Here is a 14,818-nt window from a genome sequence, read left to right as displayed (position 1 = left end):
TAATGTTCTCCAGGCCCATCCATGTTGTTGGAAATGTTATAATTTCCTTATTTTTAGAGGTCACATAATATTCCATTGTATGTGTATACATTTGCTTTATACACCCATTTACCTACGGTCACTAACTTTAAAAAAATTCTAGGCCATTATGAATAATCTTGTAATAAACATATTTTTTACTTACTGATTTTATTTCCTTTGAATACGCAGCCAGAAGTGGGATCACCAGATCACGTAATAGTTTTACTTTCAATTTATAAAATAACTTTTACTACCACTCCACTGAATAATTCTCTTTTCACCAGCTAACTGTCAGCATTTTGTTATCTTTTGTGTCTGTGATAATAGTCATGGTAATGAACGTGAGGTGATATCTCATTGTGGTTTTGATTTGGATTCCCCTGATGATTAGCAATGTGGAACACCTTTCCATGTCCTGCTGGCCATGCATATGTCTTCCCTTGAATACAATGTCTATGTACAGTTTTGCCCTCTTAAAAATCAGGGGTTTTTTTTGCTATTGTATGGGTTCTTTACACATTTAGATAGATCCCTTTGTCAGATATATAGCTTCAAGTAATTTATTTGTCTATGATTTTGGTGTCGAATCCAAATAAATCATTTTCCAGATCAACTCTGGAAAGCTTCTTTTTTCCCTGTTTTCTTCTATGAGTTTACAATTTTAGATATCATATTATATCCAAGCCTTGAGTACATTTTTAGGTGATTTTTGTATATGAGATGAGATGAGGTCTCATTTTTTTCTGCATATGGATGCTCAGTTTTTACACCATTTGTTAAAAAGGCAATCTTTTCCTTATTGTGTGTCCTTGGAACAAAAAATCTGGGAGATACACAAAAGAGGAAAATCTTAGACCAATATTCCTGATGATAGACCTAAAAATCTTCAAGAAAATACTAGGAAATTGAATATAGCAGCACATTAAAAAGTTATTACATTATGATCCAGTAGATTTTACTCCTTTCATGCAAGGCTAGTTCAACATACACAAATCAATAAAGGTGCTCCACCACATAAGCAGAATCAAAAGCAAAAACTATATAATTATCTCAATAGATCCAGAGAAACTTTCAATAAGATTCAACATTCTTCATGATAAAAACCTTCAACAGACTAGACATCAAAGAAACTTAGCTTAAAATGATAAGAGCCATGTATGACAAACCCACAACTGACACCATACTGAATCAACAAAAGCTCAAATCATTCCCCTTCATAACTGGAACAAAACAAGAATACCCACTCTCACCACTCCTATTCAACATAGTAGTGGATGTTCTAGCCAGAGAAATCAAACAAGAGAAAGAAATAAAAGGCATCCCCACAAGTAAATAAGAATTCAAACTATCTATTTTTGCTGTTGATAGGATCCTATGCATAGAAAATTCTATAGACTCTGCCAAAAGAATCCTAGAATTGATAAACAACTTTAGTAATGTTTCAGGATACAGAATAAATATACGAAAATCAGTAGCTTTTTTATACACCAACGACATCCAGGCATAGAGAAAAATAAATGACACGATCCCACTTACAACATCTACAAAAAAAGAAATACCTAGGAATACAGCTAACCAAGGAGGTGAAAGATCTCTACAAGAAGAACTACAACCTCTCCAGCACATGTTGTTTCCTGACTTTTTAATGATCGCCATTCTAGCTGGTGTGAGATGGTATCTCATTGTGGTTTTGATTTGCATTTCTCTGATGGCGAGTGATGATGAGCAGTTTTTCATGTGTCTGTTGACTGCATAAATGTCTTCTTTCGAGAAGTGTCTGTTCATATCCTTCACCCACTTTTTGATGGGGTTGTTTGTTTTTTTCTTGTAAATTTGTTTGAGTTCATTGTAGATTCTGGACATTAGCCCTTTGTCAGATGAGTAGATTGCAAACATTTTCTCCCATTCGTTAGGTTGCTTGTTCACTCTGTTGGTAGTTTCTTTTGCTGTGCAGAAGCTCTTTAGTTTAATTAGATCCCATTTGTCAATTTTGGCTTGTGTTGCCATTGCTTTTGGTGTTTTAGACATGAAGTCCTTGCCCATGCTTATGTCCTGAATGGTATTGCCTAGATTTTCTTCTAGGGTTTCTATGGTTTTAGGTCTAACATTTAAGTTTTTAATCCATCTTGAATTAATTTTTCTATAAGGTGTAAGGAAGAGATCCAGTTTCAGCTTTCTACATATGGCTAGCCAGTTTTCCCAGCACCATTTATTAAATAGGGAATCCTTTCCCCATTTCTTGTTTTTGTCAGGTTTGTCAAAGATCAGATAGTTGTAGATATGTGGCATTATTTCTGAGGGCTCTGTTCTGTTCCATTGGTCTATATCTCTGGTTTGGTACCAGTACCATGCTGTTTTGGTTACTGTAGCCTTGGAAACAACAGGTAACAACAGGTGCTGGAGAGGATGTGGAGAAATAGGAACACTTTTACACTGTTGGTGGGACTGTAAACTAGTTCAAACATTGTGGAAGTCAGTATGGCAATTTCTCAGGGATCTAGAACTAGAAATACCATTTGACCCAGCCATTCCATTACTGGGTATATACCAAAAGGATTATAAACCATGCTGCTATAAAAACACATGCACACGTATGTTTATTGTGGCACTATTCACAATAGCAAAGACTTGGAACCAACTCAGATGTCCAACAATGATAGACTGGATTAAGAAAATGTGGCACATATACACCATGGAATACTATGCAGCCATAAAAAATGATGAGTTCATGTCCTTTGTAGGGACATGGATGAAGCTGGAAACCATCATTCTCAGCAAACTATCGCAAGGACAAAAAACCAAACACCGCATATTCTCACTCATAGGTGAGAATTGAACAATGAGAACACATGGACACAGGAAGGGGAACATCACACACCGGGGCCTGTTGTGGGGTGGGGGGAGGAGGGAGGGATAGCATTAGGAGATACACGTAATGCTAAATGATGAGTTAATGGGTGCAGCAGACCAACATGGCACATGTATACATATGTAACAAACCTGCACATTGTGCACATGTACCCTAAAACTTAAAGTATAATTAAAAAAAACAATTACAACGAAAATCCTTAATGTCTCTTGAGTAGGTAGAGAACATATATTTTATCTAAGTAACTTGCTCTAAACTGCAAACCAAAATAAGATGATTCAATAAAGTATTTTGTAAACTAGTCTTTAGCAAAAAAAAAAAAAGAACTACAAAACACTGCAGAAAGAAATCAGAAAGTAAACAAATAAATTGAAAAAAAAATTCCATGCTCATGGAATGGGAGAAATAATATTGCAAAAATGGCAATATTATCCTTCAATATTTATCGATTCAATGTTATTATCAAAATACCAGTTTTATTCTTCTAGAAATATAAGAAAAGTATTCTAAAATTTGTATGTAACCAAAAAAGAACAAAAACAGCCAAAGTAATCCTCAGCCAAAAGAACAATGCCAGGGACATCACACTATTTGACTTCAAACTCTACTATAAAGCCACAGTAACAAAAACTGTTTGGTACTTGTACAAGAATAAACACATAGACAAATGAAATAGAATAGAAAACTCAGAAATAAAGCTGCACACCCACAACCATCTGTTTTTTGACAACCCTGAAAAAAATAAACAAGCAATGGGGAAAAGACAACCTAGTCAATAAATGGTGCTGGGATAACTTGCTAGCCATATGCAGAAGATGGGAACTTGACTCGTGACTATCACCATATGAAAAAGAAAATTAACTCAAAATGGATTATAGCTTTAACTAAGACTTCAAACTACAAAAAGCTAGGAAGACAACCTAGGAATACTCTTCTCTGCATTGGCCTTGGCAAAGAATTACTGGCTCTGAGACCAGGCATTTTTTGTAACAGTGATTTATTTTCTGGGGTACATATCATGGAGTGGGATTGCTGATTGAACGATAGATCTATTTTAGTTGCTTGATAAGCCTTTACAATTTTTTTCACATAGGTTGCACTAATTTACATTACCAACAACAGTGTATAAATGCATTTTCTCTGAATTCTCATCCATATCTATAATTTTTTGACTTCATAATAATAGGCACTTTGACTGATGTAAAGTTGTGTCTCACTGTTGTTTTAATATTAATTTATCTAATGATTAATGTTGTTCAGCTTTTTATTTCCATATGCTTTTTGGCCATTTGAATATCTTCTTCACAAAATGTCTGTTGATGTCTTTTGCCCACATTTTAATGGTGTAATTTATTTATTTGTTGTTGTTGCTGAGTTGTCTGTGTTCTTGTTAGATTCTAGATGTTAGTTATTTATTGCACAGTAATGTAATAAATCTAAAAGTCAGGAAACAACAGGTGCTGGAGAGGATGTGGAGAAATAGGAACACTTTTACACTGTTGGTGGGACTGTAAACTAGTTCAACCATTGTGGAAGTCAGTGTGGCGATTCCTCAGGGATCTAGAACTAGAAATATCATTTGACCCAGCAATCCCATTACTGAGTATATACCATCCCATGACTGGGTATATACCCAAAGGATTATAAATCATGCTGCTATAAAGACACATGCACACGTATGTTTATTGTAGCACTATTCACAATAGCAAAGACTTGGAACCAACCCAAGTGTCCAACAATGATAGACTGGATTAAGAAAATGTGGCACATATACACCATGGAATACTATGCAGCCATAAAAGATGATGAGTTCACGTCCTTTGTAGGGACATGGATGAAGCTGGAAACCATCACTCTCAGCAAACTATCGCAAGGACAAAAAACCAAACACCACATGTTCTCACTCATAGGTGGGAATTGAACAATGAGAGCACATGGACACAGGAAGGGGAACATCACACACTGGGGCCTGTTGTGGGGTTGGAGGGGCGGTGGGGAGGGATAGCATTAGGAGAAATACCTAATGTTAAATGATGAGTTAATGGGTGCAGCACACCAACATGGCACACATATACATATGCAACAAACCTGCACATTGTGCACACATACCCTAAAACTTAAAGTGTAATAAAAAAAATAAAATTAAAAAAATCAATTGCAAAAAAACTGTTGAAACTATGAAAATATGAGGTAATTAAACAACACAATTTTGACCAATCATTGGCTCACCAATAAAATTAAGATATTAATTTTTAAAAATACAAAGAAAAATGAAGCCACAACATACCAAACCCTCTGAGATACAGGAAGAGCAGTACTAAGAGCTTATAGTTCTAAATGTCTATGAAAAAATAGAAAGATTATAAACTAGCAATCTATTGATTTACTTCAAGGAACTAGATATTTTAGAACAAACCAACCCCAGAGCTAGAAGAAGAAAATAAATAAAGATCATGGCAGATTTCAAAAATATTGAAACAAAAAAGCAAAATATAAGGAATCAACAAAACAAAATGTGGTTATTTTAAAACATGAACACAATTGATAGAGCACTAACTAGGTCAACAAAAAAAAAAAGACAGAAGATTCAAGTTAGCACAAGCAGAAATGATAAAGGTGGTATTATAACTGACCCAATGGAAATACAAAAGATTATCAAGACATACTGAATATGTCTATGCTCACAAACTAGAAAATCTAGAGGAAATCAATAAATTTCTGGAAATATTCAACTACCCCCCAAAATTGAACCAGGAAGGAAAAGAAATCCTAAATAGACCAATGCGAGTAATAAGACTGAATCAGAAACTGAAAATCTCCCAACCCCAAAAGCCCAGAACCAGATAAATTCAAGGTCTAATTTTACCAGATGTACCATTCTTACTGGAACTATTCCAAAGGATTAAAGAGAAGAGATTCTTTCCCACCTTTGTCTAAAATACTCGTATCACCTAATACCAAAATCAGGCAAGGATACAACTACAACAACAAAAAGCTACAGGGAAATATCCCTAATGAACATAGATACAAAATAGTAAACAGAATACTAGCTAGCTGAAACCAACAGCACAATAAAAGATAATACATCATGACCAATTGGGTTTTATTCCAGGGATGCAAAGCTTGTCTAAAATAAACACATCAATAAATATGATTCAACATATAACATAATTAAAAACAGAAAACATAAGACCATCTCAATGAATGCAAAAAAGTCATTCAATAAAATTCAATATCCCTTCATGAAAAATTCCTCAACAAGCTTAGCATCAAAGAAACCTACCTCAAAACTATAAAAGCCACATACAACAACCAACAAAAAACTCTTAAATAAATCAATAGAACAGGGATCTTCTTAAATTTAGTAAAAACCTATGCAACTGATTTATTCAATATGCTGGACTTGGTAGTGAAGAAATGAATGACTTTAACTAAAAAAAAAAGCCACATATAACAAAACAACATTATATGGAATGAGAAAAAGTTGCAAAAATATTCCTGAAGAACGTGAGCAAGAATGCACACTTTCACCACTCCTACTGGACGTATTACTGAAAGTCCTAGCCAGAATAATCAGAAAGGAAAAAAGAAATGTATGTTTCAAGTTCCAAGCTAAGGAATCCAGGAGTGGCAGACCCAGAGACTTGTTTTTTAATCTATGAATAACATCCAAACCCCTGACCGATCCCTTGGAACACAGGATTTAGGGGTGATTGAGGCTCTTTCTTTTGGGTTAAATGAAAGTTGCTAGGTGGAGGGTGTTAAGTAAAAATTACTACATAAGCTGCATAGTTTTGTCAAATGGTTGTAGTTTTCTTGTCCAGCCTGCTGTTCCTGAACCACCCTATATGAAAGCCCTCAATAAACTATATGTCTTGTTCACTGGTTTGGCCTGTTGTACACGATGCCAGTCCTATTGGAGTCCATATTGGTCTGGCGTGACATCCAGTCAACCTGGTAAAAGGTCCAAAAAAAATCTCATGAGCACCCAGACAATGGAATCTAAAAAGAGGAGACCCCTGCAGAAACCTTGGGCAGGCTGTTAATTTCTACGTGGGGCCCAACAGCCGTTATCCATGATGGATGGGGCCCAGTGCCTGAGTATGGGGATACCGCCACAATGCCAAAAGTTCTGGAAGAACCTCTTCAGTGGGTGCATCTTACAAAGTGAAAGTCAGATGTCCAGGCTGTTGCATTATCAGGTGAGTGGTTCTTCCTGACTGCACTCTGAGAAGCCACTGAGACAGTGCTCACTGTGTATGCTACAGTGTGTCAGTCACAAGAAGAGCTACTCCTAGAAAAACATGCCAGACTAGCTCAGACTAATCAGAGACCTTTCTGTCCTGCCTGTGGAAGCAGAATGGCAAATTGGGGACCGCCGCTTGTGGAGCAGCACATTTGAAGGATTTCTGGCCATCACATGAATTAGTTACGGCTGTGATGACTAAACTGTCATGGGACCCTAAGACCTAGTTCCCATAAAGAGTTCTAGGGGGAGGAGGATGAAGTTTGGGGTAAGCCCATGGGGGTTCCTGTCCTCTCTACACATCTGGTGGCTACCACCAAGGTAAAAATGGGCCAACTGCACCAGCAGAGGCGAGCCCCAGAGACATTTCCCACCTGAAATAAGGAAACACACCACAATGTGGGATTCCACCACTGCGGAATTGCTGACACTTAGAAATGGGTTCAGACAGAAGAAGAGAGAGTTGATCACAGGGTGGCTTCTTCATCTGTGAGGCATGCGGGAGGAGGGCATTATACTCCCTGAACTCAAGATTAGTAAAGTGACATCCATCACAAACCATCTGGGCCTGAGGCAGCACCTCGATGGTGTCAGTCATGGAGATTGGACCATCCCTCTCCTTAGCTGGGTGGTTGCAGACTGCAAGGGACCCTGGTGAAACGAGGGAGATGTCCGCTTTATTAGTGTGTTCTCGTATTGCTAGAAAGAAATACCTGAAACTGAGTAATTCACATAGAAAATAGGTTTAATTTACTCATGATTCTGCTGGCTGTATGGGAAGCATGATGAAAAATCTGTTCAGCTTCTGGAGAGGCCTCAGGAAATTTACAATGATAGTGAAAGGCAAAAGGGGAGCAGCCACTTTATATGGTGGGAGCAGGAGCAAAGAAAGAGTGAGGGTGGAGGTCCCACACACTGTTAAACAACCAAATCTCATGAGAACTCATTTACTATCATAGCAAGGGGACCGTGCTAACCATTATTCATAAATCCGGACCCACGATACAACCACCGGGCCCCGCCTCAAACATTAGGGAAGCAAAATCACATACAGTTGTTATGACAGGTGGGACATCCTGAAAACCTCTCTAGGCATGTCCCACACGGCCCTGGAGCTGTCTCAGGGGAGCAGTCTCCTCCAGTGTTTAGACGCACAGGCACGGATAATAGGGCTAAGTCTGGCCAGATGTGTGATATTCAACACATTGCACAACTGCTCTGTTCTGTATGTAATTTATCTTCTCTACAAATGTAACATTGATGGTTGCATTAAATATATTCTGCAAATATGTAAAAATAAAATAAGATGATGATTGCTAAATGATTATCAAGGCACAATCACATAATCCGAAGTTACAATTTCCTGAGAGATAGGATTACTGCCCATGCTTACCAGGACACTCACATCTGCTCTGGGCACTGCCTTCTCCTCAGGCGTCCCACCCCAGAGCTTGCTATATAGTAGGAGACATGCAAATAGGGTCCTCCCTCTGCTGATGAAAACCAGCCCAGCCCTGACCCTGCAGCTCTGAGAGCGGAGCCCCAGCCCCAGAATTCCCAGGTGTTTTCATTTGGTGATCAGCACTGAACACAGAGGACTCACCATGGAGTTTGGGCTGAGCTGGGTTTTCCTTGTTGTTATTTTACAAGGTGATTTATGGAGAACTAGAGATGTTAAGTGTGAGTGGACGTGAGTGAGAGAAACAGTGGATTTGTGTGACAGTTTCTGACCAGGGTGTCTCTGTGTTTGCAGGTGTCCAGTGTGAGGTGCAGCTGGTGGAGTCTGGGGGAGGCTTGGTCCAGCCTGGAGGGTCCCTGAGACTCTCCTGTGCAGCCTCTGGATTCACCTTCAGTGACCACTACATGGACTGGGTCCGCCAGGCTCCAGGGAAGGGGCTGGAGTGGGTTGGCCGTACTAGAAACAAAGCTAACAGTTACACCACAGAATACGCCGCGTCTGTGAAAGGCAGATTCACCATCTCAAGAGATGATTCAAAGAACTCACTGTATCTGCAAATGAACAGCCTGAAAACCGAGGACACGGCCGTGTATTACTGTGCTAGAGACACAGCGAGGGGAGGTCAGTGTGAGCCCGGACACAAACCTCCCTGCAGGGGCGCGTGGGGCCACCAGGGGGCGGTCGGGAACCACTGAGGACGGGACAGGTCCCAGGAGCAGGTGCAGGGGGCGGTTTCCTGTCAGCTGCAGGAGGCGGGTTTGTTTTTGCAGGACTCTGGAGCCTTATGAGGTTGCACTATTTTATTATGGTTATTTATCATGTGTTTTTTATTGATATTTGTGTTTTAGTAATTTTTACATTTATATGTAGGGGTATTTTTTAAAAATACATAACTTCAAGAAATAATTCTTCCTAGTAATTTACACCTATTCCTCTAAAGTTTTATTAACACCTGTTGATATCAGCAACTACATAGCTATGCAACATTAATTTACATCTATAAACATATGTGTGAATACATGAAACTATGCATACATGTGTAGTCATTTATATTTAACATTATAATAAAATAATAAATTAAATAAAATAATTGAATTAAATTAAAAGAATTAAACTTAATGATGAACTAAATATAAATTAGAGTAATCCATAATTGATTTCAATCCTTCTCTATGGTTTACATAAATCGATGTCTACTTGTAAGCTTAAGTATAGTGAATTGGTCATTTTAAAATAGCCAAGAACAAATTTCAAATGTTCTTGTCACCAAAAAATGATAAGGATTTGAAGATTTGAGGTGATATATATGTCAATTAGCTCGATTCAATTATTCCACATTGCATTCATAAATCATAACATAGCTTTGTACCCCATCAGTATATGGGGTACAACCAAAATTTCTCAATTTCCAATGAAATTTTAATTATATATTTTTTAATTTGATGCCTCTCTTTGGATCAGGCCACCTCCTCAGGATTACAGTGCTGTTCAGTTTTCTCAACATGCTGTTGTACCAGATAAGCACAAAACATTTAATTTCATTATGCTTTGCTTTAGTTTTTCAAAACAACATAAAGGTAATAATTTTCCCAACAAACATATTACAGCCTATTCTATACTTTTTTATTTTTTGTTTTTATGAGATAAAATTTACATGTAAGAAAAAATTTATAGATCTGAAATGTGTCACTAGAGAGTTTCTGGCAAATGTGAATACCCTTGTCCCGAACACCTAAGGTAGACTAAAGAGCAAGTCCATACCCACAACATGCGTCTTTCTCTGTGCCTGCGGTCAACCCCTACATGGGGAAGTGTTTTGATTTCTGACACCATAGATCCATTTTTTTCTGTTTTGAGCTTTATATAAATGGAATCAAACATTATAGACCTTTTTTTGGTAAGGGACTACTTTGCTATTTTTTAGGTTAATTCATGCTATTTAATGTATGAAATTAGATCATCATAGTGTCATTTACTCAATTAATGGGCTGACTCTGATATGAAACCTCAAAGTATTCATGTATATATGGAGAGAGAGAGAGGGAGGAAGGACAGAGATTTTATATCTGAGACAGTCCATTGAGTAAATATATGACAATATATTGATCTATTTGTTGTCGATGGATTTTACATTTGTTTCCAGTATATGAATATTATAAGCAAAGCTGTTACAAATACATTAGTGTAAGTTTTTCTATCTATGTTGTCTCAATTTTGTTGAGAAAATATGAAGTATGTTTTTCTTTATTGTAAGAGGAAGTTTAATTTTTTTCAGTTTTATTGAGGTAAAAATAAAATATTTTTTAAAATGTATAGGTTTAAGGTGCCCCACTTGACGTTTTGATGTTGTATTAGTCCATTCTCACACTGCTATAAAAAATGCCTGAGACTGAGTAATTTGAAAAAAAATATGTTTAATTGGCTCACGGTTCTGCAGGCTGTACAGGAAGTGCAGTGGCTTCTCCTTCTGGGGAGAGTCAGGAAAGTTAGGATCATGGCAGAAGACAAAGGGGAGCAGGTGTGTCACATGGCCAGAGCGGAAGCCACAGGAAGCGGACCGGGGTGTGGGGGGACTGCACACTGTTAGACAACTAGATCTTGTGAGAACTCAGGCACTGTAGTGAGAACAGCACCAGGAGTCGGTGCTGAACCACTCATGAAAGACCCACCCCACGACCCAGTCATCTCCCACCAGGTCCCACCCCAGGACTGAGGATTATAATATAACATGAGATTTGGTCCAAGACACAGATCCAAACCATATCATATGCACATTGTGAAATGCTCATCATGGTTAAGGTAATTTGTATATTCATCTTCTCACTATTTTTTGTTTGATTTTTGAGACAGAGTTTTGCTCTTGTCGTCCAGGCTGGAGTTCAATGTCACCATCTCAGCTCACTGCAACCTCCAACCCCTGGATTCAAGGGATTCTCCTGCCTCAGCTTCCCGAGTAGCTGGGATTACAGGAGCTCAACACCACACCCCGCTATTTTTTTTTTTTTTTGGTACTTTTAGTAAAGACAGAGTTTCGCCACGTTGGCCAGGCTGGCCTCGAACAGCTGACCTCAAGAGATCTGTCCGCCTCGGCCTCCCAAAGTGCTGGGATTACAGATGCAAGCCACAGCGCCCAGCCAATTTTATTATTTTAAAAATGTACTGCATGTGAGTGTGTGCGTGTGTGTGTGTTTCATGAGAACACCTAAGATCTACCCTTTTAGCAAAAATCACTTTTACAGTACAGTATTAAATACAGGAAAATTGGCGTAGGTTAGATCTCCAGAACTCATTCACCCTGCACAGCTGAAACTCTGTACCCTCTGACCAACTTCACCCAATTTCCCTCTCCTCCCAGGTCCTGGGACCCACTATTCTACTCTCTGCTTTCAAGAGCTTGAATATTTCAGATCCCACACGTAAATGAGATCATGCAGCATTTGTCTTTCTGCATCTGGCTTATTCCACTCAGCGTCATGTCCTCCAGGCCCATCCATGTTGCAAAAGCCAGAACTTCCTTCTTTTCAAAGCTAAATAAAATTCAGTTTTATGTGTACACATTTTCTTTAAACATTCTTTAATCTATGGTCATTAAACTCTTTCACAAATCTACACTATTATAAATAATCTGGCAGTGAACATGTGTTTAACATAATAATTTTATTTCATTTGAATATATAACAAGAAGTGGGATCACCAGATCGTACGATAACTTTATTTTTCAATTTATTGAGTAACAAGTCCTACCACACCATATCATGATTTCCTTTCCCAACATTCTTGTGAACACTTGTTATATTTTGTCTTGCTGATAATAGTCATTTTAAGTGGTTTGAGGCAATATTTCATCGTGCTTTAGATTTGAATTTCTCTGAAAATTAGTAATGTTGGGAACCTTTTTAGGCTCTGTTTTTCATGAGTGGGTTTTCTGAAAAAAAGTCTATCCAGGTTTTTTCCCTTTTATCAGGTCGTTTGTAATTTGCACATAGTTTTTTTTCCTGTGCTTTTGGTATTAAATTCAAATAAATCATTTCTGAATCAATGACAGGAAGTTTTTCCATGCTGTCTATGAGTTTGTGGTTTCAGGTTTTGCTCATTTTTAGTTGATTTTTGTACATGGTGTGAGAGAAGGTCTAATTTTATTTCTTCTGCATATGGATGTCCAGTTATACATCATTTATTGAGGAGACTGTCTTTCTTCACTGTGTCTTTTTGGCATACAAAATCAGGAAGAGACATAATTAAAAAAGAAAATATTAGATGAATATTCGTGATGAACATAGACCTAAAAGTTCTCAACAAAATATTAGCAAATAGAATCCAGAAGCACTTTAAAATGTAACACATCATGATCAAGTGGGCTTTACCCTGGGATGCAAAGTTCATTCAACATCCACAAATCAATAACTGTGATTCATTGTGTAAGCAGAATAAAAGCAAAAACCATATGTTATCTCAATAGATGCTGAGAAAGCTTTTGATATGCTCCAACACTCACTCATAATAAAAACCCTCAGCAAACTAGGCATCAAAAAACATACCTCAAAATAATAAGAGCCATCTATGACCAACCCACAGTCAACATTATACTGAGTGAGCAAAAGCTCAAACCCCATGAGAATTGGAACAAGACAAGGATGCCCTCTCACCACTCCTATTGAACATAGCACTGAAAATCCTAGTCAGGGCAACCAGGCAATAGCGAAAATAAAACGCAGCCGATATGGTTTGTACTAGTGCCCCATTCAAATTTCATGTCAAATTGTAATTCCCAGGGTTGGGGCTGGGGTCTGGTGAAGGGTGATTCTATCATGAGGATGGGTCTCCGTCTCTTGTGCTGCTCTCGTGATGGTCCTCAGGAGATCTGGTTTCAAAGTATGTGTCATCTCCCTCCTCTCTCTTCCTCCTGCTCCTGCCCTGTAAGACATGATGCTTCCCTTTCTGTCATGATTGTCATGTTCCTGAGGCCCCCCCAAGAGCCATAATTCCTGTACAGCCTGCAGAACCATAAGACAATTAAAAACCTTTATACATTACACAGTCTCAGGTGTTTCTTTAGAGTGTGCGAATGGACTAATACAGAATCAAAATAGGAAAAGAAGTCAATGTATCTGTCCAAATTGATGATATAATTCTATACCTAGAAAATTCTAAAGACTCTGCCAAAATAATTCTAGAATAGATAAACAACTTTGGTAAAGTGTCGGGATACAAAATCAATGTACAAAAATCACTAGCATTTCTGTACCCCAACTACATCCAAGCTGAGAGTGAAATCAAGAACACAATTCTATCCCACTTACAATATCCACAAAGAAAAGGAAATGCCTGGGAACACAGATAACAAATAAGATGGAAGATCCCTGCAAGATGAATGACAAAACACAGCAGAAATAAGTCATAAATGACACAAAAAATGGGAAAACATTTCATGCTCATGATTGGAATAATCAATATTGTAAAAATTGTCATACTGCCAATAGAAATTTACAGATTCAATACTATTCACATAAAACTATCACCATCATTCTTCACAGAATTAGAAAAAAAAGTATATATATTCTAAAAGTTATATGGAACCAAAAAGCCCCTGAGTAGCCAAAGCAATTCTAAGCAGAAAGAACCATGACAGAGGCAACATGATACCTGACTTTAAACTACACCATAAAGTCACAGTAACCAAAACAGCTTGGAAGTGGTACATGAGCAGACATGCAGAAAAATGGAACAAGAGAGAAAACAGAAATAAACCTGCACACATAAACCATCTGATATTTGATAAGGCTGACGAAAACAAGCAATGGGGATAAAACTCTGTATTCACTAAACGGTGCTGGGATAACTGGATTCTGTCAGATATACAGAATGCAAAAGTGAAGGAGGCTGGGCAGCTTCGACTTAGATTTCAGAGGATATGTAGAGGGCCCTGCAGGCCCAGCAGGAGGCCGGCTGCAGCAGTGCAGCCACCACAGACAGCCTCTACTAGGACAGTGCCAAAGATGGGGAAAGAGAGGGTTGGAGCCCCAATTCACAATCCCCACTAGGGCATTTTACACTAAAGCTGTGGGAATGTGGCCACGACCCTCAAGGTCCCTGAATGGTAGAACCAAAGGCAGCTTGCACTCTCAGCCTGGAAAAACTTCTGGTACTCGACTCTAACCTATGAATGCAGGCCAATAAGCTGTGCTCAGCTATAAGGATGAAAAGCCTGAGGTTTCTGGGACTC

The 14,818-nt window shown here is 38.2% G+C and overlaps 1 gene segment (V, D, J or C) and 1 further gene; both read left to right on the top strand.

The window, feature by feature from the left end:
- The window catches only part of IGH (immunoglobulin heavy locus), a 1,293,408-nt gene that overhangs the window by 79,951 nt on the left and 1,198,639 nt on the right, over positions 1-14,818 (top strand).
- Positions 8,741-9,202, top strand: IGHV3-72 (immunoglobulin heavy variable 3-72). The segment is given in 2 exon segments: positions 8,741-8,786; positions 8,890-9,202. Coding segments are annotated over 2 exon segments (359 nt in total), but the record flags the coding sequence as incomplete, so codon positions are not given.

This window comes from Homo sapiens, chromosome 14 (assembly GCF_000001405.40).
Source record: "Homo sapiens chromosome 14, GRCh38.p14 Primary Assembly".
NCBI lineage: Eukaryota > Metazoa > Chordata > Mammalia > Primates > Hominidae > Homo > Homo sapiens.
This window is presented reverse-complemented; position numbering and strand designations above follow the sequence as displayed.